Genomic DNA, 24,249 nt, shown 5'->3' on the forward strand with positions numbered 1-24,249 from the left:
TTTAACCCGAATCTGATAATCAGAAAACAGACAAGTTAGAACGTAGGGCATTCTCCACAGCAGCTGACCAGGACTCTTCAAAAATGAAAAGGTCACATAAGGCCAAAACCAAAAAGGAAGAGGACCATTCTAGATTGGAATAGACTAAAGAGACATGACAATGCAGTGTACCAGCCTTGACTGGACCCGATTTTTAAAAATAATACAGCTGCCAGGACATTTGGGGAATAACAAGGGACTTTTGAATTTGGACTGCATTTTAAGTGATTTTACTGAATCAATATTAAAATTCTTGGGTGTAAAAAAAAAGTATTATTAAAAATATTTCCAATCACTTTCTGGCTTTTAAATTGAAAAATCCACATAAAATATTTTGTGTATAATTTAATTTTTATTTAACTACATAGAATAAAGTTTTCTAAAGCAGAGTTTTCCAATAGAAACATAATGTGAGCCACATAGGTAAGCTTAAATTCTAGTATCCACATTTTAAAAAGTAAAAAGAGATGAAATTGATTTTAATTAAAATTTTATTTAAGCCAATATATCCAAAGTTTTATTTCAACATATAATCAGTATTAAAAGTTACTAGTGAGACATTTTACTTTTTTAAAATTATTCATTCTTCAAAATTCTGTCAGTATTTTACATTTATTGTAAAATGAATTGCCCTCAAAATTTATAGGACAAATTTTCAGCACAAACAGTTAAGCTCTATTTAGATTTTATAAAATTTTCAGTTGAAAAAGTAGGCATGTATTCAAGTTGTTTCAAACATATTTAAAAGTTATCCAATGACTGAATCAATAATCACTTTTTAAGTTTAAATTAGACAAACATTCATTTCCTTCATTATACTAGCCATATGTTAAGTGACTATCATATTGGATATCATACTGGATAATTGCACAGTCCAGAGTTGATGTGGATCACTGATACGATTTGGCTCTGTGTCTCCACCCAAATCTCATGTCAAATTGTAATCTCCACAGGTCAGGGGAGGCAGCTGGTAGGGGGTGATTGGATCATGGGGGCAGATTTCCCCCTTACTGTTCTCACGATAGTAAGTGAGTTCTTAGGAGATCTGATGGCTTAAAAGTGTGGCACTTGCCCCCTCGCTGGCTCTCTCCTGCTGCCATGTAAGATGTGCCTTGCTTCCCCTTCACCTTCTGCCATGATTGTAAGTTTGCCTCCCCAGCCATACGGAACTGTTGAGTCAATTAAACCTCTTCTCTTTATAAATTACCCTGTCTCAGGTAGTTCTTTACAGCAGCATGAAAACAGACAAATACAGTCACTTAAATAAGCCAACACCATGTATAAGTTTGTGTCATTTTACATAATTGTGTCTATTCAAGGGATCCATGGATAAAGCCTCTTCAGGATTCTGGAGGGGAGTTGGTAGTAAGGCCAAGTTGTAAAAGCCAGGGCACCCCTAGAAATTTGGAGCTAAGGTCGAGTCCGATAGAGTGTAGGGTGGTCAGAGCAGAGCTGCTGGGCATTGCAGCCTTTAGGTCTTCTGCTTCTTTGCACTGAAACATGTTGACAACTAGGCAAATCTTGCTTGTTAGTGTTCTAAGTAAGCCAGCTGCTGGATGTGGGGGATGCTAGGGCCTAGAGTCTAAGAAGATAGCCCCTGTGTTCAACAGCTACCTTTATAAGTGAGACCTGGGAATGCTAGTGATCACAGGTGGCATGATCCCTTCAGTGACATACTCAAGGTTGATAGGCCATGTTAGTTGAATAGTCTCGGAAAAACAAAAGTACATACAGGTAAATATATTTATTTTTAATATTTAAAAATAATGAACTTTGTTGCTATTTGTTGAATCATTGCATTGAATCCTTTATTCAAGTAGTACCAGAGTTGTATACCACACAGGATACTTAAATTTTAAAGGGGAAAAGAAGGCCGGGTGTGGTAGCTCATGCCTATAATCCCAGGACTTTGGGAGGCCAAGGTGGGCAGATCACCTGAGGTCAGGAGTTTGAGACCAGTCTGGCCAACATGGTGAAACCCCATCTCTACTAAAAATGCAAAAATTAGCCAGGCATGGTGGCAGGTGCTTGTAATCCCAGTTACTTCGGAGGCTGAGGCAGGAGAATCGCTTGAACCCGGGAGGCGGAGGTTGCTGTGAGCCGAGATCGCACCACCGCACTCCAGCCTAGGTGACAGAGCGAGGCTTTGTCTCAAAAAAAAAATAAAATAAAAAATCAAAAAAGGGGGAAAAGAAAAATATGTTAATCAGATTTGAATGCAGAGACTCTCTCTGCTCTTGGCTTGTGTTTCCTAAGCGGTGACTACATTGAATATACTCTCAGTTGTTCCAGATTTACCTGTTGCTCTCTGCTGACTGCTCTGTAAATGGTTTATAGCTGAAGCTTCACTGTAGTATAAAACTTCATTTTATTTTTAAAAACCTTTCTTTGTTGTCTAGAGCCTGTGTGGTGCCCCTATCTCCTTGTTCCAAGGGCCTCTCTTGCCTTGAAAGCCTTCTTATTACACCAGCCTTGGAATGGACAGTATTCTTTGGACATTTCTCATGTGTAAGTTTTTCACTTTTCTTTTTCTTTCATAATTTACTTGGGGTTGAAAGACACCCATGAAAGTCAGCCATGGCCTGTACTCCAGCATTTAAAGGGAATGGAGCCTTTAAAGCCGAGAGAAGGCAGAGACACTACAGAATTGCCAGGCTGCCTCTGGGTTCTCGGGCCTTTGTGGAAGTGTGGGTCAGTGAGGAGCTGTGAGGGCGTGTATTGCTCTCAGGTGGCTGTGTGCTTGTCTTATGGTCTGAACATGGATGTGTCGTGATGATGAAAAGGATGCGTGTGAAGAGGGCAATGGAAGGCAGGAGAATTTGGAGCCGGGCACGTTCTTTTTAAAAGCAGCATCATTAGCTTCAGGGATATACTGTGTCTTAAAAATCTCAATATTTGCCTCATTGCAAAAAAATATTCACAGAAACTATTAGTGTTTATTAATTAAATTCACAAATATTACTGAACTCCTGCCATGTGCAGCACGGATGGAGGATTTAAAAATAATGCCAGGAAGTGTCTGTTCTCCAAGCACTGTCTCCTCAGAATATTCATTCTGCAGAGCTCTAAATGAGCAGATTCCTTTAGTAACATTGTTAAGTTCTTCATTAAAAGGAATCTAAACCTGATAGATTTTAAAGCCTGCTTATAAATTTCCTGGTTTCTTGAAAGCCAAGGAGACTTTCTTTACTCATTTTCTTGTTTTTGACTCAATAAGATAAAAGCAGATATTAAAGTTGATTGGTGGGGTCCTGAGTAGATTGTTGTTATTTTGGTCTATAACCAGGTTTCTAACCAAGAACTACGAAGAAGGTTATCTCTATATTAACACAACTTTTTTCAGGTGAAGAAATACGTGGTTTTAAGTGAAGAGATAATGAACTCATTCAAAATTTTTTCTTTACAGTGACTATCCAGAAAATGAAGAAATAAAGAATCTCCTCCAAGAACAGTTGAATTCATTGTCTAAGTAAGCACTCCATGTTTCATTAGAAGATAGGAATATGAGAAAGAAAAATGCAATTCAACTTTAAATGCAATTCAAAATTAAAATAAGTTACGTTTTAGAAAATATTAGTGGCCCAAGAAGAGACCATTCTGTTTAGAGGTTTGCTTCCCGTTAGAGTCTGTGTTTTGCAGAAAAAGTACTTATTCAGTAGTTACAGTGACAGAGCATCTGTCTTCACCAAGTTCATGAGCACCAGCTGCTCTGATCTCACATCAAGGCAGGACTAGATGCATAGTGGGAGCATCCTTGTAGCTCAGCTTGCCTCTACTACAAACCTCCATGAAGCCTCACAGCGGGAGACGAATCGCAGGGTGATTCTGGGTCTGCTTCCCGCTTCTAAAATGAGTTCTCTGTGTCAGGTGCTGGTGTGCACAGGTCTGGCTAAGAAATTAATGTGCTCCCTAGAGCCAAGGGCATTTAACAGAATGTACTGGGAATAAGAAAGGAAAAAATATGGGTCTACAAGGAGTTCTTGGGGAAAGCGTAACACATTTTTGCAATCTAGAATCTGTTACATATAATTATAGTATTTAACAAATTAAGCATGATATTTTATTGACGGAAAATTCAAAATAATTAGTTTTTTCTATGCAAAGATTAACATTTATGTTTAAATGGGAAACTATAGATTTAAAGAATGTCTTCCTTTCTGATTTGTGAATATTCAGTATTTTACTATTTTAGAAATACGAACTTATAAAAGCACAAGCCATTCTTCCTTAGATACTTTATTTTTGGAATAGTTTCAGAATAAATTACGAATGTCATCTTCTTTAAAGTATTTACTGTTCTTGATGATTTTTTCAACAATGGCATTCTTGTTCCAGTAGTTAGGCAGCTAATACTTTCAAAAACTGTTGTAAGCCTATAAACCAGAAATGAGAGCGCTGCAGCTCCCTGTGGTGGCTGAAAGCTGCTGCTTCTCCAAGCCTTGAGAACACTCTCAGCCCCCTTCAACTTTTATAATTTCAGGGTCATGGTAAAGTACCTTGTCTTGTGTAAATTCTAAACATGTTATTTGACTGGAATTTTTCATTTCAAGAGTATATTGATCAACCCCCATGCTTTATTGTTTGATTGAAAACTTTTGTCTCACTTTTGTCCGGATTTCTTCCACAGTGACATAAAGAAACTGTTGCTTGATCCAGAATTCACTCTCTTGCAGAGGTGCCTGCTTGTTTCAAGGTAATATTGTTTGATGTATTCTGTATAAGAGACAGGATTTCAAGTTAACTCATTTCTTTTAAGGGTTTTTAGTTAGAAACACTTAGATTTTAGAAAAATGTATCAGTTCATCCTTTAGATTTAACTTAAAATAATTTTGACAGTAGTAATAACAAATAGGGAAAAATCAAATTGCATTTTAAATGTGAGATCTAGGCCTTCTCTCTGGAAAGCACTTCCTCCTACAGCTTTTTAAAATATGTGTTTTAAAATATCAGATACAGGTATATTTAAATATACCAATAAATTATATTTAGAAGCGATAACCTCTATATCCTGACTTACAGTAGAGTTTGTCACTTATAAAAAAGACTCCTCTCCCCACAGAATAAATAGCACATTACTTTCATACCTTATCTAGCCAGTTATCCCAGAGGAACTTCTTCCTAATGTGAATCAATGGCCCACATTGAAAGGTGTGCTAATGGCAAACCAGGTAAATAATTGTTCTTAACACAGAACAGAAAGATGCTGGAGTCTGAAGGGGTCCTGTGCAGTCAGGCCCCCGTATTGTTGAAGGCCCAGTAGCAGGGCAGGAGAACTTGCTGCCTCCCCCTTTCACCCTGTCAGGCCCCATGCCAGTATCCCAGTGGATATGTGACAACACTCCCTTCCAGTCCCTCAGTCTACTCTAGGAAGCCATCCAGGCCAGGTGTGCTGAGTGCAGTCAAAACTTTGCTTCATCCTTGCCAGGCTCTATGGTGATGAATCGGAGCTGCACTTCTGGACTGTCGCTGCCCACTACCTGCACAGCTTATCCCAGGAAAAGTCAGCCAGCACAACAGCTCCTAAAGAAGCTGCTCCTCGAGACAAACTGAGCAACCCACTGGATATATGCTATGACGTGCTCTGTGAAAATGCCTACTTTCAGGTAGTCTGCTTCACACAGCAAAACCTTTAGAGCTGTCATCTTGATTACTTATATCTTTGTCAATATCTTAAACTTGGGAAACTTTCAAACTAAGTTACTGTTCAGTAATAGAAATAAGCCCTTGAAAATTAGCTGGGTGTGGTGGCACGTGCCTGTAGTCCCAGCTACTCAGGAGGCTGAGGGAGGAGAATCACTTGAACCCAGGAGGCGGAGGTTGCAGTGAGCTGAGATCACGCCACTGCATTCCAGCCTGGGCAACAGAGCAAGACTCTGTCTCCAAAAAAAAAAAAAGAAAGAAAAGAAAGAAGCCCTCGGTACATTTGCATTAAAAAAAAAGCCTGATCAAGATTTGAAAAGCTCATAGACAGTTACTGCGTTGTTTACTAAACATTAAAATTTTATTATTAAACAGGCTTGTTTAATTTGTCTTACATTTTTAACTTGGCTTCATTTTAATTCTGTCATTAATTTCCTATAAATAACAAATACTTTATACACTTGGTTTGAATTTGCTGTTCACATGATAATTTCTTTAACCTCCTGCAGAATCCTTCAGTGCACATAGGTTTTTCATCCGGCTCTACTTAAGTGTCAGTTTCTGTAGGCAGGCAGGTATGCATCCAAGTGATAATATCTATCAACATTTTTGCTGTTCAAATTCTTATTAAATGTTTGGGGTGCTGTAAAGTTGATTATCTAGTAACCTGAAAAGTCAAAGTAGTTTATTAAAATGATCTTATTAAGTACAGTAAAATTTAAATAATTCCAAACTCTTATAATCCAGGCTTAATTTTTCTTTTTTTTCCAATTCTAGAAATTTCAGCTAGAAAGGGTTAATCTGCAGGAAGTGAAACGGTCAACTTATGATCATACAAGGAAATGTACAGACCAGCTACTGCTCTTGGGTCAAGTATGTCAGTTTTTATAACTCTACATGCTTCATTAAATTGCTAGTTAATTCGTATTTCAGAGCAATATATCTGTATGTATATATTTCATAATATTTTCCCCTTGTATGTACCTCCTTCCCTGTAGACAGTTTAGGCTTTCTTTCAAAATAATACCAATAAACCTCATGAGAAAAAACATATGGTTAACCAGCTTGTAATTTAGACTTCCATAATGCCCAGTGGAGCCCAGCTATTTGTTTTGTTTTGTTTTTGTGTCTGAATTGACTGGTACAAAGCTAAAATAGGCAATTACTCGAGCACCTAGATACACCAGCCTCTGGCTTTATGTTTGTCTCAAAAAAGTAGTGTAGCACCTCTGTTTAATGTTTGTATTTGTAAACAAAATATTCAATTGCATTTTTTGAAAATGAGTGTTTTCCTTTAGTTTTCTACCTTATGAATTTTAAAAAGTTATGTTGGAGGAAAATGTTCTCATAATTAGAAAAACCGTTTCTCTTACTAGACAGACAGAGCTGTGCAGTTGCTGTTGGAAACAAGTGCAGATAACCAGCATTATTACTGTGATTCACTGAAAGCCTGTTTAGTCACTACTGTCACCTCGTCAGGCCCCTCTCAGAGCACCATTAAGTTGGTGGCAACGAATATGATTGCCAATGGCAAATTGGCAGGTAAGGCACACTTGATATGTTTGTCATCTCTCTGAAAAATGAGACCTTGTTCCCAGCAAAGTATCTGATTAGTAGGGACATTTCTTTCTCTTTTACATATGCTGAAGAAAAATAGAAAAATTATTGCTACCTATAAATCAGATGAATATAATTGTCTAAACCAGAATTAATTGTTTACACTTTTCAGAGTGAAAGGGGGCACTGTTAATAATTGCTGAGATAATAGGCATAAATCCAACAATCCTAGGCAAATCAGAACAATAAAACCTGTGAGAGAACTATGCTCTCCCTACTTATTCTCCAGACTGTATTGTGCTTCCTACCCTGGTTACTTGAGTAATAACAGTAAAACTCTTAATATTATGTTTCAGAATTTAAATCAAGAATGTCTTCAGTAGGTATAAAATGGGCACGACTAGATAAGGTCAAATGGGGATTTAACTTTTTAATGACTTCTCAAAGAAGGAGCTGCAGTGTCACTTAAGGGGATGCGCTTTTGTCTTTCAGAGGGCGTTCAGTTGCTCTGCCTGATAGATAAGGCTGCAGACGCCTGCCGCTACCTGCAGACATACGGCGAGTGGAATCGGGCTGCATGGCTGGCAAAAGTAGGTGGTTCCAAGTTTCAATAGGTGCCCTCAACATTCGGGATAGAAAGCTCAGTCCTGAACTTTGGACTTATGACTTAGAAACATTTTTTGGCCTGCAAAGCTGCTTTGCAAATACTGTCTTGGAACCTTTATCCTTTTCCTATTCTTTATGAGTGTAAATTGCATTACTTATTTAAAAATGGATCTTGCATTGGTAGCAATTAAGTAAAAGCAGCTGCCTCCTCTTTCTCCCAGAGTCTGAGCCGAAACTACAGTCCAGAGGTATAGCCAGGCCCTGGGTCCCGTAGGCACAGACCGTTATCATTATTCAGAGTATGCAGCAGCTTCAGGGCAGTGTGCTAGTCAAGCAGAGCATAGCCTGTATTTCATAGAAACAGATCTCACTTTAACTGAATTATTATTTTTTCTTTATAGAGTGCAGGATGTTTTTGTTGTTAACACAGGCGTCTTTCTCAGGTCCGTTTGAATCCTGAGGAGTGTGCCGATGTTTTAAGGCGGTGGGTTGACCACCTTTGTTCTCCACAAGTCAATCAGAAATCAAAGGCTCTCCTGGTTCTCCTCTCTCTGGGCTGCTTTTTTAGCGTGGCAGAGACGCTTCACAGGTAAACCGAGAGTTCACATGGGCTGCTCAGGCCTGCCCGTGAGCAGTCACTTCATGTTCTCTCGCGGTTCTAGCAGGTCATGGTACTCGATGTGTAAAGTGAAAGGAGAAGTATACATTTCAGGTTTGTCAAAAAACCCAAAGGAGAATGGAACTGTCCGTATTCATTACATCTTCATTCGGTCTAGGAGCTATGCTAGTTTCCTACTAATATGCTGATCAGACTTAACAGGCACCTAGTAAAAGGGAATTTAAAAGTCTTCAGAGAATTGGGGTCCATTCAGCTTTGACTAGAGCAACTGAGAGGAGGCCCAGAGAGCAGGGGGAGAGGCGACAGAAGGCATGGTGAGGTGGAGACATCCCGTCTGAAAATCTGGAAGAGGAACAACCATCACTAATTGTGGAGCATTTCATTTATTCAAAACTAAGGGAGGTAGATTACGGAAATATGACAAAAGATTACTTGTCAACTCTGGACAGGGGTACATGGGCACTTGTCATATCTCTGTAGATTTTTGTGTATTTAAACTATTTCACAATTTTTTAAAGTATTAATTTTAAAAAGCTTGTGTTTGGAGATGTGAGTATTCTTCCCTCCTTTTTTCAACAAACTAGGGCTTAGAAAAGTGCTTGTATCTTAATGCAGTATGCAGGTTTCCAGGGAAAATGTGTAAATGTCTTTATACCCTTCGATGCTGCTGCCCACCAGTGATGTAAATCACAAAGCATAACTCTTGTTTTGTTCTGTTGAGCAGCATGAGATACTTTGATAGAGCAGCCTTATTTGTGGAAGCTTGCCTCAAGTATGGAGCATTTGAAGTCACTGAGGACACAGATATCCTTTGCAAGGTTGTTTGTAGTGACGAGGAAGAAAGTGACATGCATGGGTTTTGGAATTTCCCTTAGTTGTGCTGCCTGGACAGGAACTATATTATATTGTGAAAGATCCATGTTCTGATTTTCTGATTCACCAAAGCCAGGAAAGAGGGAGAAATTAGAGGACAAAGAATCAGATAAGAAGGTGGCTGCACCATGGGTGTCAGCTTTGACTAGGATGGAGGGAGGCAGGAAGGACTATAGAGGACAGGGCCCCCAAGTCTTGTCTGAACTTAAAAAGAAGATGAAGGAATGATTTGGGAAACAGGTAGAAGGACCTGGTACTTTGAAATAGTACTTTTTCAAGACCAGACATTCCATGGAATAAATTTTATATATTTATCTAGAAAAAATATACTGGAATAACTAAAAAAGTCTCACGATCACCTCTAGTGACAATATGATATGGGACAAAATACAGCACTTAAAGAGAGGTGTTGCTCAGGCCAGCCACTATAATCCACCCATCAGCCAGAACATTTTATTTCTTCTAAATGGCACTTGAGCAACATTGGTTTCTTTGAAAAGAATGAACTTGAGAATGCAACTCCCAGGACCAGAAAAGAATGAAACTGGGCCAGTGCTTGCATGGTCCTGCTGCTGCTCACTGCACTTTGCTTCAAATTCTTACATTTGCTCTCATTTCTACATGGCAGGTACTTGGTTCTCTCTCTCTTTCTCCCTCTTTCTCTGTGTGTGTTTATAATTTTTTTTTTTTTTTAACAGAGAATTAAAACTAAACTAAAAATTTTTTTTTTCCTTTTTTTGAGGTAAGGTCTCACTCTTCTGCCCAGACTGGAGTGAGTGGCACGATCATGGCTCACTACAGCCTTGACTTCCTGGGCTCAAGCAGTCCTCCCACCTCATCCTCCCCAGTAGCTGGGACCATAGGTCCACACCATTGTGCCTGGCTTTTTTTTTTTTTTGGTAGTAACCCGGGTCTCACTATGTTGCCCAGGCTGGTCTTGAACTCCTAGTTCAAGCAGTCCTCTCACCTTGGCCTCCCAAAGTGCTGAGATTACAGGCATGAGCCACCCAGCCCTGCACTGAAAGTTTTTTAAAATTAAACTGAAGGCTGAGCCTACTCAAGATCATGTACCTAGTCACTGGGAAGGTGACTGGTTCAGTGTATGCATTTTGAGGATCAAAGCATCAGCACAGAGTACCCAATAGGCTGTTTAAAAAAATAAAAATAAATAAAAAAAAACCAATAGGACAGGGCTTTCTAAAAACCCAACAACCAGATATAGGGAACATTCAGAAATAAATATCTGCCCCCAAACTGCCAGCCTCTCAGACTTTCAAATGGAATGAGGATATGCAGGTTAAGTTTCTCCTCTCTTATCATTCATCTTCCAATCTTCAGTTGAGTGTAGGTTATGGGAGGATGTTGGTTGGGTCTTCTGGAAGGAGAAGCTTTGGACTCAGCTGGTACGAAAGGTAATGATGGTACAGACTGAGACATGGCCTACTATGGCCGGGAATCACCCTCTGCCCGCGAAAAGTCTCCTGTGTTCATCCTGTGCTGCCCGCTGTGGACACCAGGTCCCTTCCGAGCAGCCAGCAGAGCAGACGCGACTCACCCTTCCTGCTTCTGGGAGCCTGTGAAGAGTCTCATCACAGCCCTTTTTACTCTTCTTTTCCTTAACTATGGTTTACAGAAACTCATCACTGCTATATATGCAGATTATGCCCGGAGTTTGAAGAACCTCGGTTTTAAGCAGGGAGCAGTTCTCTTTGCTTCAAAAGCCGGAGCAGCTGGCAAAGACTTATTGAATGAGCTTGAGTCCCCCAAGGAAGAACCCATTGAAGAGTGACAGCTTAATAAATGCCAGGGAATCTGACCTGGAAGGCAGATGGGAGGGGGCTGGTCTGGCTGTGGCCACCGTCACAGTCCAGGATGAAGAGGAGTACAGGGTCCTGTGAGCTGTTTGACCACTGTTCTAAGACTATGTGTGCCCAAAAGCACATAAGCATCTATGTTGAGAGTAAGTTTGTATCCTGCGTTGGTCTCAGAAAGAACGTGAATGCTTAAGATTTTGAAAGTACATAATATTTTATACTTTGGGAGAGAGCTTTAAGAGTCCCTGGAAATACTTTTTAATTTTTTTAACTTAAAATTCAAGAGACTGAATCACTTTTCTCATTGATTAAATGTAAAGATTATTGAGAAACCTATAGTAAATGAAATTTGTGAGATGTTTTCTCAAATATATGCTGTGCCTGTACTTATATACAGTCTTTCAAGAGAGATACAAACAAGGCAGAAACATTTAAACTAGTATTAAAGGTAGTTTACCAAAGCATTTTTTGTTTTCTTACCTTGAAAACACAGAACCGTTAATTCCTTGGTTTAAGCAGTTGCTAAGTTTTGTAATTTTAGGCTCAGAGGACCATAGGAGGTTTTAAGATTTATGTTTAGTCCGATAGGTGAGGTCTTTGATATTTTGAATTTTAACTCCTTTTATGATACATCACAGTAACCTCATTTTTGAAGTCTTTCTTTGTACTTTAATGTTCTCTCTGTTCTAATAGTTGAAGTATGAGATGTAACTATTATAAACTGTTGCTGAAAACATAAATGTCTGTAACTTACAAACATGATAAATAAATTAAAAATTCCATCCAGGCCTTTGTGTTCTCTGCATTGCTGTGCATGAGGCCAGGTCATGAGGTGGCTCCTTAGGAGTCATCTGGTCGCCCAGCCTCTAAAGCCTGGCTGCTCCTGCTGTATCCAGAGAAACCTGTATGTGGGAATCCCATGGGTGCGGTACAGGGCAGGAATGACACCCACACCCCGGGCAAGTCTACCTCTGAGTTCCCGAGTGGGAATGTGGCTTAGTGCACAGCTTTTGGAGATGAGGGGGTGAGCACTTCCATCTTTTCCCTCCTGAGCCTGCTGGGTGACACATCATACCCACTAAGAGGTACAATTTTTAAAGAGAAGCATAGCCTCTTTCTACCGTTAGACCAACCAGTCTGACACCCTCTGCCAAGGAACTGAGCTCCATGGAAAGGAAGGCCTGTCCCAGGAATATTTGTCCGTAGCTCGGTGCTTTGGCGAGCAGTTCTGTGTCTGGAGTTGGTTCCTTCCGGTGGGTTCTTGGTCTCGCTGACTTCAAGAATGAAGCCACAGACCTTCACGGTGAGTGTTACAGCTCTTAAAGGTGGCACGGACCCAAAGAGTGAGCAGCAGCAAGATTTATTGTGAAGAGCGAAAGAACAAAGCTTCCACAGCATGGAAGGGGACCCAAGCAGGTTGCCACTGCTGGCTGGGATGGCCAGCTTTTATTCCCTTATTTGCCCCTGACCACATCCTGCTGATTGGTCCATTTTACAGAGTGCTGATTGGTGCGTTCACAATCCTTTAGCTAGACACAGAGCACTGATTGGTGTGTTTTTTTACGGAGTGCTGATTGGTGCATTTACAATCCTTTGGCTAGACACAGAGCACTGACTGGTGCATTTTTACGGAGTGCTGATTGGTGCATTTACAATCCTTTAGCTGGACACAGAATGCTGATTGGTGCATTTACAATCCTTTAGCTAGACAGAAACGTTCTCCAAGTCCCCACTCAACCCAGGAAGTCCAGCTGGCTTCACCTCTCAGTTCTAGAAGAAATTCAGGATCCATTATTGGTCCCATACCTGGCTCGTGTTTCCTGTCCTTTCTTTGCCTAGACACACAGCAGTAGACTTTCTAAAGGCCACATGCAAACGCCACTTTCTTTACATTGTTTATTATTTGTCCAGATTTCTTTATTCAACCATTCTCTTAGCTTTGGCTGCTATAACCAAATACAGAGATTGAGTAGCTTAAACAACAGACATTTATCTCTCATAATTCTAGAGGCTGGCGGTCCGAGACCAAGATGCCAGCAGATTTGTTCCTGGTGAGGAACTTCCTGGCTTGTAGAGCGCCGCCTTCTCGCTACGTACTCATGTGGCCTTTCCTCTGTGTATGCACGTGAAGCAAGCAGGCTGTCTGTCTTCCCCTTATATAGGCCCTAATCCCATCATGGGGTCAACCTCAGCCTAATTACCTCCAAAAGGCTGAACCCTCGAGGGAGGAGCCAAGATGGCGGAATAGGAACAGCTCCGGTCTACAGCTCCCAGCCTGAGTGACGCAGAAGACGGGTGATTTCTGCATTTCCATCTGAGGTACCAGGTTCATCTCACTAGGGAGTGCCAGACAGTCGGCGCAGGTCAGTGGGTGCGTGCACCGTGCGCGAGCCGAAGCAGGGCGAGGCATTGCCTCACCTGGGAAGCGCAAGGGGTCAGGGAGTTCCCTTTCTGAGTCAAAGAAAGGGGTGACGGACAGCACCTGGAAAATCGGGTCACTCCCACCCGAATACTGCGCTTTTCCGACGGGCTTAAAAAATGGCGCACCACGAGATTATATCCCGCACCTGGCTCGGAGGGTCCTACCCCACGGAGTCTCCCTGATTGCTAGCACAGCAGTCTGAGATCAAACTGCAAGGCGGCAGCGAGGCTGGGGGAGGGGCGCCCGCCATTGCCCAGGCTTGCTTAGGTAAACAAAGCAGCCGGGAAGCTCGAACTGGGTGGAGCCCACCACAGCTCAAGGAGGCCTGCCTGCCTCTGTAGGCTCCACCTCTGGGGGCAGGGCACAGACAAACTAAAAGACAGCAGTAACCTCTGCAGACTTAAATGTCCCTGTCTGACAGCTTTGAAGAGAGCAGTGGTTCTCCCAGTACGCAGCTGGAGATCTGAGAACAGGCAGACTGCCTCCTCAAGTGGGTCCCTGACCCCTGACCCCCGAGCAGCCTAACTGGGAGGCACCCTCCAGCAGGGGCACACTGACACCTCACACTGCAGGGTACTCCAACAGACCTGCAGCTGAGGGTCCTGTCTGTTAGAAGGAAAACTAACAAACAGAAAGGACATCCACACCAAAAACCCATCTGTACATCACCATCATCAAAGACCAAAAGTAGATAAAACCACAAAGATGGGGAAAAAACAGAACAGAAAAACTGGAAACTCTAAAAATCAGAGCACCTCTCCTCCTCCAAAGGAACGCAGCTCCTCACCAGCAACGGAACAAAGGTGGACGGAGAATGACTTTGACGAGCTGAGAGAAGAAGGCTTCAGACGATCAAATTACTCTGAGCTACGGGAGGACACTCAAACCAAAGGCAAAGAAGTTGAAAACTTTGAAAAAAAATTTAGAAGAATGTATAACTAGAATAACCAATACAGAGAAGTGCTTAAAGGAGCTGATGGAGCTGAAAACCAAGGCTCGAGAACTACGTGAAGAATGCAGAAGCCTCAGGAGCCGATGCGATCAACTGGAAGAAAGGGTATCAGCAATGGAAGATGAAATGAATGAAATGAAGTGAGAAGGAAAGTTTAGAGAAAAAAGAATAAAAAGAAATGAGCAAAGCCTCCAAGAAATATGGGACTATGTGAAAAGACCAAATCTACGTCTGATTGGTGTACCTGAAAGTGATGGGGAGAGTGGAACCAAGTTGGAAAACACTCTGCAGGATATTATCCAGGAGAATTTCCCCAATCTAGCAAGGGAGGCCAACGTTCAGATTCAGGAAATACAGAGAACGCCACAAAGATACTCCTCGAGAAGAGCAACTCCAAGACACATAATTGTCAGATTCACCGAAGTTGAAATGAAGGAAAAAATGTTAAGGGCAGGCAGAGAGAAAGGTCGGGTTACCCTCAAAGGGAAGCCCATCAGACTAACAGCGGATCTCTCGGCAGAAACCCTACAAGCCAGAAGAGAGTGGGGGCCAATATTCAACATTCTTAAAGAAAAGAATTTTCAACCCAGAATTTCATATCCAGCCAAACTAAGCTTCATAAGTGAAGGAGAAATAAAATACTTTACAGACAAGCAAATGCTGAGAGATTTTGTCACACCAGGCCTGCCCTAAAAGAGCTCCTGAAGGAAGCGCTAAACATGGAAAGGAACAACTGGTACCAACCGCTGCAAAATCATGCCAAAATGTAAAGACCATCGGGACTAGGAAGAAACTGCATCAACTAACGAGCAAAATAACCAGCTAACATCATAATGACAGGGTCAAATTCACACATAACACTATTAACTTTAAATGTAAATGGACTAAATGCTCCAATTAAAAGACACAGACTGGCAAATTGGATAAAGAGTCAAGACCCATCAGTGTGCTGTATTCAGGAATCCCATCTCACGTGCAGAGACACACATAGGCTCAAAATAAAAGGATGGAGGAAGATCTACCAAGCAAATGGAAAACAAAAAAAGGCAGGGGTTGCAATCCTAGTCTCTGATAAAACAGACTTTAAACCAACAAAGATCAAAAGAGACAAAGCATTACATAATGGTAAAGGGATCAATTCAACAAGAAGAGCTAACTATCCTAAATATATATGCACCCAATACAGGAGCACCCAGATTCATAAAGCAAGTCCTGAGTGACCTACAAAGAGACTTAGACTCCCACACATTAATAATGGGAGACTTTAACATCCCACTGTCAACATTAGACAGATCAACGAGACAGAAAGTCAACAAGGATACCCAGGAATTGAACTCAGCTCTGCACCAAGTGGACCTAATAGACATCTACAGAACTCTCCACCCCAAATCAACAGAATATACATTTTTTTCAGCACTACACCACACCTATTCCAAAATTGACCACATACTTGGAAGTAAAGCTCTCCTCAGCAAATGTAAAAGAACAGAAATTATAACAAACTATCTCTCAGACCACAGTGCAATCAAACTAGAACTCAGGATTAAGAATCTCACTCAAAACTGCTCAACTACATGGAAACTGAACAACCTGCTCCTGAATGACTACTGGGTACATAACGAAATGAAGGCAGAAATGAAGATGTTCTTTGAAACCAACGAGAATAAAGACACAACATACCAGAATCTCTGGGACGCATTCAAAGCAGTGTGTAGAGGGAAATTTATAGCACTAAATGCCCACAAGAGAAAGCAGGAAAGATCCAAAATTGACACCCTAACATCACAATTAAAAGAACTAGAAAAGCAAGAGCAAACACATTCAAAAGCTAGCAGAAGGCAAGAAATAACTAAAATCAGAGCAGAACTGAAGGAAATAGAGACACAAAAAACCCTTCAAAAAATTAATGAATCCAGGAGCTGGTTTTTTGAAAGGATCAACAAAATTGATAGACCGCTAGCAAGACTAATAAAGAAAAAAAGAGAGAAGAATCAAATAGACGCAATAAAAAATGATAAAGGGGATATCACCACCGATCCCACAGAAATACAAACTACCATCAGAGAATACTACAAACACCTCTACGCAAATAAACTAGAAAATCTAGAAGAAATGGATAAATTCCTTGACACATAAACTCTCCCAAGACTAAACCAGGAAGAAGTTGAATCTCTGAATACACCAATAACAGGAGCTGAAATTGTGGCAATAATCAATAGCTTACCAACCAAAAAGAGTCCAGGACCAGATGGATTCACAGCCAAATTCTACCAGAGGTACAAGAAGGAACTGGTACCATTCCTTCTGAAACTATTCCAATCAACAGAAAAAGAGGGAATCCTCCCTAACTCATTTTATGAGGCCAGCATCATTCTGATACCAAAGTCGGGCAGAGACACAACCAAAAAAGAGAATTTTAGACCAATATCCTTGATGAACATTGATGCAAAAATCCTCAATAAAATACTGGCAAACCAAATCCAGCAGCACATCAAAAAGCTTATCCACCATGATCAAGTGGGCTTCATCCCTGGGATGCAAGGCTGGTTCAATATACGCAAATCAATAAATGTAATCCAGCATATAAACAGAGCCAAAGACAAAAACCACATGATTATCTCAATAGATGCAGAAAAGGCCTTTGACAAAATTCAACAACCTTTCATGCTAAAAACTCTCAATAAATTAGGTATTGATGGGACATATTTCAAAATAATAAGAGCTATCTATGACAGACCCACAGCTAATATCATACTGAATGGGCAAAAACTGGAAGCATTCCCTTTGAAAACTGGCACAAGACAGGGATGCCCTCTCTCACCACTCCTATTCAACATAGTGTTGGAAGTTCTGGCCAGGGCAATTAGGCAGGAGAAGGAAATAAAGGGTATTCAATTAGGAAAAGAGGAAGTCAAATTGTCCCTGTTTGCAGACGACATGATTGTATATCTAGAAAACCCCATTGTCTCAGCCCAAAATCTCCTTAAGCTGATAAGCAACTTCAGCAAAGTCTCAGGATACAAAATCAATGTGCAAAAATCACAAGCATTCCTATACACCAACAACAGACAAACAGAGAGCCAAATCATGAGTGAACTCCCATTCACAATTGCTTCAAAGAGAATAAAATACCTAGGAATCCAACTTACAAGGGATGTGAAGGACCTCTTCAAGAACTACAAACCGCTGCTCAAGGAAATAAAAGAGGATACAAACAAATGGAAGAACATTCCATGCTCATGGGTAGGAAGAATCAATATTGTGAAAATGGCCATACTGCCCAAGGTAATTTACAGATTCAATGCCATCCCCATCAAGCTACCAATGCCTTTCTTCACAGAATTGGAAAAAACTACTTTAAAGTTCATATGGAACCAAAAAAGAGCCTGCATCGCCAAGGCAATCCTAAGCCAAAAGAACAAAGCTGGAGGCATCACACTACCTGACTTCAAACTATATTACAAGGCTACAGTAACCAAAACAGCATGGTACTGGTACCAAAACAGAGATATAGATCAATGGAACAGAACAGAGCCCTCAGAAATAACGCCGCATATCTACAACTATCTGATCTTTGACAAACCTGAGAAAAACAAGCAATGGGGAAAGGATTCCCTATTTAATAAATGGTGCTGGGAAAACTGGCTAGCCATATGTAGAAAGCTGAAACTGGATCCCTTCCTTACACCTTATACAAAAATCAATTCAAGATGGATTAAATACTTAAATGTTAGACCTAAAACCATAAAAACCCTAGAAGAAAACCTAGGCATTACCATTCAGGACATAGGCATGGGCAAGGACTTCATGTCTAAAACACCAAAAGCAATAGCAACAAAAGACAAAATTGACAAATGGGATCTAATTAAACTAAAGAGCTTCTGCACAGCAAAAGAAACTACTATCAGAGTGAACAGGCAACCTACAAAATGGGAGAAAATTTTTGCAACCTACTCATCTGACAAAGGGCTAATATCCAGAATCTACAATGAACTCAAACAAATTTACAAGAAAAAAACAAACAACCCCATCAAAAAGTGGGTGAAGGACATGAACAGACACTTCTCAAAAGAAGACATTTATGCAGCCAAAAAACACATGAAAAAATGCTCACCATCACTGGCCATCAGAGAAATGCAAATCAAAACCACAATGAGATACCATCTCACACCGGTTAGAATGGTGATCATTAAAAAGTCAGGAAACAACAGGTGCTGGAGAGGATGTGGAGAAATAGGAACACTTTTACACTGTTGGTGGGACTGTAAACTAGTTCAACCATTGTGGAAGTCAGTGTGGCGATTCCTCAGGGATCTAGAACTAGAAATACCATTTGACCCAGCCATCCCATTACTGGGTATATACCCAAAGGACTATAAATCATGCTGCTATAAAGACACATGCACACGTATGTTTATTGCGGCATTATTCACAATAGCAAAGACTTGGAACCAACCCAAATGTCCAACAGTGATAGACTGGATTAAGAAAATGTGGCACATATACACCATGCAATACTATGCAGCCATAAAAAATGATGAGTTCATGCCCTTTGTAGGGACATGGATGAAATTGGAAACCATCATTCTCAGTAAACTATCGCAAGAACAAAAAACCAAACACCGCATATTCTCACTCATAGGTGGGAATTGAACAATGAGATCACATGGACACAGGAAGGGGAACATCACACTCTGGGGACTGTTGTGGGGTGGGGGGAGGGGGGAGGGATAGCATTGGGAGATATACCTAATGCTAGATGACGAGTTAGTGGGTGCAGCACACCAGCATGGCACATGTATACATATGTAACTAACCTGCACAATGTGCACATGTACCCTAAAACTTAAAGTATAATAATAAATAAATAAGGAAAAAAAAAGGCTGAACCCTCAAATACTATCACACTGGACGGTAAGGCTTCAACATGTGAATTACGAGACTTGCGAAGCAGAGAGAAAGAAGAAACTTTATACCAGAGTCGTGCTTTCTGAAAAATGAAAATGCTTTGGATTAAGGCCAACAAATAGGTACTAAGGCATTGCCTGATGGTGAGAGTGAAGCAGGGCCAGGCACGGCAGCTCGGTATAAACACAGTGAGCAGACAAGGCCCAGAGCCTGGGTTTGTGTCAGTCCAGCTGGCTAGTGTAGCAGTTAGGACTCCCACGGGGACACAGAGACCAAGCCTGGTCGAGACACCACTGAAAATCCCCTTCCAAACAGAACAGGTGATCTCTGGTGATATTCACAGCCACACTGCTGAAAACTGCCATACTCACCTCCATCAAGCATTGGAAATCAAGAGCTGAACAAGTATGAATTGTTTTTCACATTTAGCCTTTCTGAATATCTTTTCACGAAAGATCATTAAGAATACGTGTTGTCAACACACTAATGAGGTGGCTTCACGAGCTGAAACAAGCAGCTGAAATTGGGAATAAGACTGAGAATTACTTCAGGACAGCAGACCCTGGCCCCAGTGCCAGCCCCCACAGAAGCTGCTGGGCAAGGCCTGGGCCCTTCCCTTTGCCACAAAGCCTGGGTGGGGGTGGAGGAGCCACTCTGGAGGTGGGGCTTCTTCAGGAAGAAGGCCAGGTGGTGGGTGGTAGGTGCTTCCCCTTGACTGGTCTCTGAGCCATTTCCTACTGCTCACCGTTACCTTTTTCCTCCTCTGTTGCTAACGAAATGCTCTGCCAAATGTGGCTGGCTGCCCCACCACGGTCTTGCTCTAGGTTTAATCATTGCTTTGGACGTAGTAGCAGGACATTTTGTTCTTTCAAAAGAGATAACAGAGCAGATTCATACAAGCCTCATGTCCCTCTCACACAGGTACCCGATCAGAAAGTCTCAACATGTAGACACAATGAAATAAGAAAACAATTTCTCTCTCATCTATTTGTTTCCTGAGGCTTCCTCTTGCCTCAGGATGGTGTTAGGTTTCAGTGAATCCTGAGCTCTGTGACTACCCAGGATATTCCATTCTCAGCAACAGGATGTGATTGAAGTAAAGCATTCAGGCACAAACTTGTAACTGTGCTGCTGAAATAAAAGAGGGCCACGCAGGGAAGGCACCCAAGGGAGAATGTTCCAGGCAACGGGGCCGTTTCTCTGGGAGCCTGCATGAGATTATTTTGACTGACTCAAAATGACTTGTGAATGAAAGAACCCTTTTAATTAAAACGTAATGGCAGTTTTAATCAAGGACATGTTGCTGCCACTTTAAAAGAAGGAAGGAGGAGCTGCGCTTTTGGAAGGCACTTCTGAAAACTGCTGGAATCCAATGAGATGTCAGGTCTAAGAGGAAATCAGAAGGGCAGACAGCCGCCACCTCGCCTTGCCTTTCCTGCAAGGGTCCTGCATGTTTTCTTTCCTTCCATGCCTGTTTGGTCAGCACGCAGCACACATTCAAAATAACCCGGGAAAGCCCCGCTTTTCTCCCGCTGAGAGATGATGAGCGACTGAGGCTCTCACAGGAGTCCCTGTGGACAATTTCAGGCCTTTCTCTTTGGTGTTTGGCATCATGCCTAAAAATGCCAAATAAAAACCACCCTCACCTTATTTTTTTCAAGAACATTGAGAAATATGACTTAAGATAAAATATGTCCTAAGTATAAGAGAAAGAAGGACATTTTGGGTTCCACAGGTGACCTGGCATGATTTTTAGCTTTCCCGTCTTCCATATTTAAAGTGAGCAAAGCCAAGGACAATTAAAGATGCTCAAATTGCCGGGTGCAGTGGCTCACGCCTGTAATCCTAGCACTTTGGGAGGCCGAGGCAGGCAGCTTACCAGAGCTCAGGAGTTCGAGACCAGCCTCAGCAACATGGTGAAACCCCATCTCTACTAAAATACAAAAAAAAAAAAAAAAAAAAATAGCTGAGTGTGGTGGTGTGCACCTGTAGTCCCAGCTACTCAGGAGGCTGAGGCAGGAGAATTGCTTGAACCTGGAAGGCAGAGGTTGAGGTGAGCTGAGATGGGACCACTGCACTCCAGCCTGGGCGACAGCGAGACTCCATCTCTTTAAAAAAAAGAAAAAAGAAAGATGCTCAAATTAGCCGGGTGTGGTGGCGGGCACTTGTATTCCCAGCTGCTTGGGAGGCTGAGGCAAGAGAACCGCTTGAACCTGGGAAAAGGAGGTTGCAGTGAGCTGAGGCAGAATCTCTTGAACCTGGGAAAAGGAGGTTGCAGTGAGCTGAGATTGCACCACTGCACTCCAGCCTGGGCAACAAGAGCAAAACTCCATCTCAAGAAAAAAAAAAAAAGAGGCAATAGAGACACAAAATCACTTCAAAAAATTAATGAATCCAGGAGCTGGTTTTTTGAAAGGATCAACAAAATTGATAGACTGCTAGCAAGACTAATAAAGAAAAAAAGAGAGAAGAATCAAATAGACGCAATAAAAAATGATAAAGGGGATATCACCACCGATCCCACAGAAATACAAACTACCATCAGAGAATACTACAAACACCTCTACGCAAATAAACTAGAAAATCTAGAAGAAATGGATAAATTCCTTGACACATACACTTTCCCAAGACTAAACCAGGAAGAAGTTGAATCTCTGAATAGACCAATAACAGGAGCTGAAATTGTGGCAATAATCAATAGTTTACCAACCAAAAAGAGTCCAGGACCAGATGGATTCACAGCCGAATTCTATCAGAGGTACAAGGAGGAACTGGTACCATTCCTTCTGAAACTATTCCAATCAACAGAAAAAGAGGGAATCCTCCCTAACTCATTTTATGAGGCCAGCATCATTCTGATACCAAAGCCAGGCAGAGACACAACAAAAAAAGAGAATTTTAGACCAATATCCTTGATGAACATTGATGCAAAAATCCTCAATAAAATACTGGCAAAACGAATCCAGCAGCACATCAAAAAGCTTATCCACCATGATCAAGTGGGCTTCATCCCTGGGATGCAAGGCTGGTTCAATATACGCAAATCAATAAATGTAATCCAGCATATAAACAAGAGCCAAAACAAAAACCACATGATTATCTCAATAGATGCAGAAAAAGCCTTTCACAAAATTCAACAACCCTTCATGCTAAAAACTCTCAATAAATTAGGTATTGATGGGATGTATTTCAAAATAATAAGAGCTATCTATGACAAACCCACAGCCAATATCATACTGAATGGGCAAAAACTGGAAGCATTCCCTTTGAAAACTGGCACAAGACAGGGATGCCCTCTCTCACCACTCCTATTCAACATAGTGTTGGAAGTTCTGGCCAGGGCAATTAGGCAGGAGAAGGAAATAAAGGGTATTCAATTAGGAAAAGAGGAAGTCAAATTGTCCCTGTTTGCAGACGACATGATTGTATATCTAGAAAACCCCATTGTCTCAGCCCAAAATCTCCTTAAGCTGATAAGCAACTTCAGCAAAGTCTCAGGATACAAAATCAATGTGCAAAAATCACAAGCATTCCTATACACCAACAACAGACAAACAGAGAGCCAAATCATGAGTGAACTCCCATTCACAATTGCGTCAAAGAGAATAAAATACCTAGGAATCCAACTTACAAGGGATGTGAAGGACCTCTTCAAGGAGAACTACAAACCGCTGCTCAAGGAAATAAAAGAGGATACAAACAAATGGAAGAACATTCCATGCTCATGGGTAGGAAGAATCAATATCTTGAAAATGGCCATACTGCCCAAGGTAATTTACAGATTCAATGCCATCCCCATCAAGCTACCAATGCCTTTCTTCACAGAATTGGAAAAAACTACTTTAAAGTTCATATGGAACCAAAAAAGAGCCTGCATCGCCAAGGCAATCCTAAGCCAAAAGAACAAAGCTGGAGGCATCACACTACCTGACTTCAAACTATACTACAAGGCTACAGTAACCAAAACAGCATGGTACTGGTACCAAAACAGAGATATAGATCAATGGAACAGAACAGAGCCCTCAGAAATAACGCCGCATATCTACAACTATCTGATCTTTGACAAACCTGAGAAAAACAAGCAATGGGGAAAGGATTCCCTATTTAATAAATGGTGCTGGGAAAACTGGCTAGCCATATGTAGAAAGCTGAAACTGGATCCCTTCCTTACACCTTATACAAAAATCAATTCAAGATGGATTAAAGACTTAAACGTTAGACCTAAAACCATAAAAACCCTAGAAGAAAACCTAGGCATTACCATTCAGGACATAGGCATGGGCAAGGACTTCATGTCTAAAACACCAAAAGCAATGGCAACAAAAGACAAAATTGACAAATGGGATCTAATTAAACTAAAGAGCTTCTGCACAGCAAAAGAAACTACCATCAGAGTGAACAGGCAACCTACAAAATGGGAGAAAATTTTTGCAACCTACTCATCTGACAAAGGGCTAATATCCAGAATCTACAATGAACTCAAACAAATTTACAAGAAAAAAACAAACAACCCCATCAAAAAGTGGGTGAAGGACATGAACAGACACTTCTCAAAAGAAGATATTTATGCAGCCAAAAAACACATGAAAAAATGCTCATCATCACTGGCCATCAGAGAAATGCAAATCAAAACCACAATGAGATACCATCTCACACCAGTTAGAATGGCAATCATTAAAAAGTCAGGAAACAACAGGTGCTGGAGAGGATGTGGAGAAATAGGAACACTTTTACACTGTTGGTGGGACTGTAAACTAGTTCAACCATTGTGGAAGTCAGTGTGGCAATTCCTCAGGGATCTAGAACTAGAAATACCATT

At 41.2% G+C, this 24,249-nt stretch overlaps 1 protein-coding gene and 1 long non-coding RNA gene across 8 annotated transcripts in view, besides 3 other annotated features; one reads left to right on the forward strand and one right to left on the reverse strand.

The window, feature by feature from the left end:
- Window positions 1–11,934, forward strand: part of WDR11 (WD repeat domain 11) — a 58,163-nt gene extending 46,229 nt beyond the window's left edge. For 4 of the 6 annotated variants that reach the window (XM_005269963.3, NM_018117.12, XM_047425458.1 and 1 more), the window contains 10 exons: window positions 2,439–2,547; window positions 3,446–3,508; window positions 4,667–4,732; window positions 5,465–5,642; window positions 6,457–6,552; window positions 7,056–7,221; window positions 7,729–7,826; window positions 8,286–8,431; window positions 9,186–9,265; window positions 10,966–11,934. In XM_005269963.3, the coding sequence (XP_005270020.1) occupies window positions 2,439–2,547; window positions 3,446–3,508; window positions 4,667–4,732; window positions 5,465–5,642; window positions 6,457–6,552; window positions 7,056–7,221; window positions 7,729–7,826; window positions 8,286–8,431; window positions 9,186–9,265; window positions 10,966–11,123 (1,160 nt within the window). In that variant the 3' untranslated portion in view covers window positions 11,124–11,934. Of the gene's footprint in view, window positions 1–2,438; window positions 2,548–3,445; window positions 3,509–4,666; window positions 4,733–5,464; window positions 5,643–6,456; window positions 6,553–7,055; window positions 7,222–7,728; window positions 7,827–8,285; window positions 8,432–9,185; window positions 9,266–10,965 lie in introns of those variants that run through there. The other 2 variants (XR_428707.4, XR_007061973.1) reach the window with 2 other exon arrangements.
- LOC105378519 (uncharacterized) overlaps window positions 4,260–24,249 on the reverse strand; it is a 79,804-nt gene continuing 59,814 nt past the window's right edge. For both annotated transcript variants that reach the window (XR_001747609.2, XR_946372.3), the window contains exon 3: window positions 4,260–4,752. This is a non-coding gene — a long non-coding RNA (uncharacterized LOC105378519). The remainder of the gene's footprint in view (window positions 4,753–24,249) is intronic.
- Window positions 12,565–13,764: an enhancer, noted in NCBI's record as "BRD4-independent group 4 enhancer chr10:122669667-122670866 (GRCh37/hg19 assembly coordinates)". NCBI's record gives its function as "activates an origin of replication core promoter dependent on BRD2, P300/CBP, MED14 and CDK7 cofactors, and independent of BRD4, by STARR-seq in HCT116 cells {active_cell/tissue: HCT116}" and the evidence as "EXISTENCE:reporter gene assay evidence [ECO:0000049][PMID:35650434]".
- Window positions 12,565–14,256: a biological region, named in NCBI's record as "BRD4-independent group 4 enhancer GRCh37_chr10:122669667-122670866".
- Window positions 13,702–14,256: an enhancer, noted in NCBI's record as "OCT4-H3K27ac-H3K4me1 hESC enhancer chr10:122670804-122671358 (GRCh37/hg19 assembly coordinates)". NCBI's record gives its function as "activates a minimal SCP1, AML or CMV promoter by ChIP-STARR-seq in naive H9 embryonic stem cells {active_cell/tissue: H9 hESC(naive)}" and the evidence as "EXISTENCE:reporter gene assay evidence [ECO:0000049][PMID:30033119]".

This window comes from Homo sapiens, chromosome 10 (assembly GCF_000001405.40).
Source record: "Homo sapiens chromosome 10, GRCh38.p14 Primary Assembly".
Taxonomy (NCBI): Eukaryota; Metazoa; Chordata; class Mammalia; order Primates; family Hominidae; genus Homo; species Homo sapiens.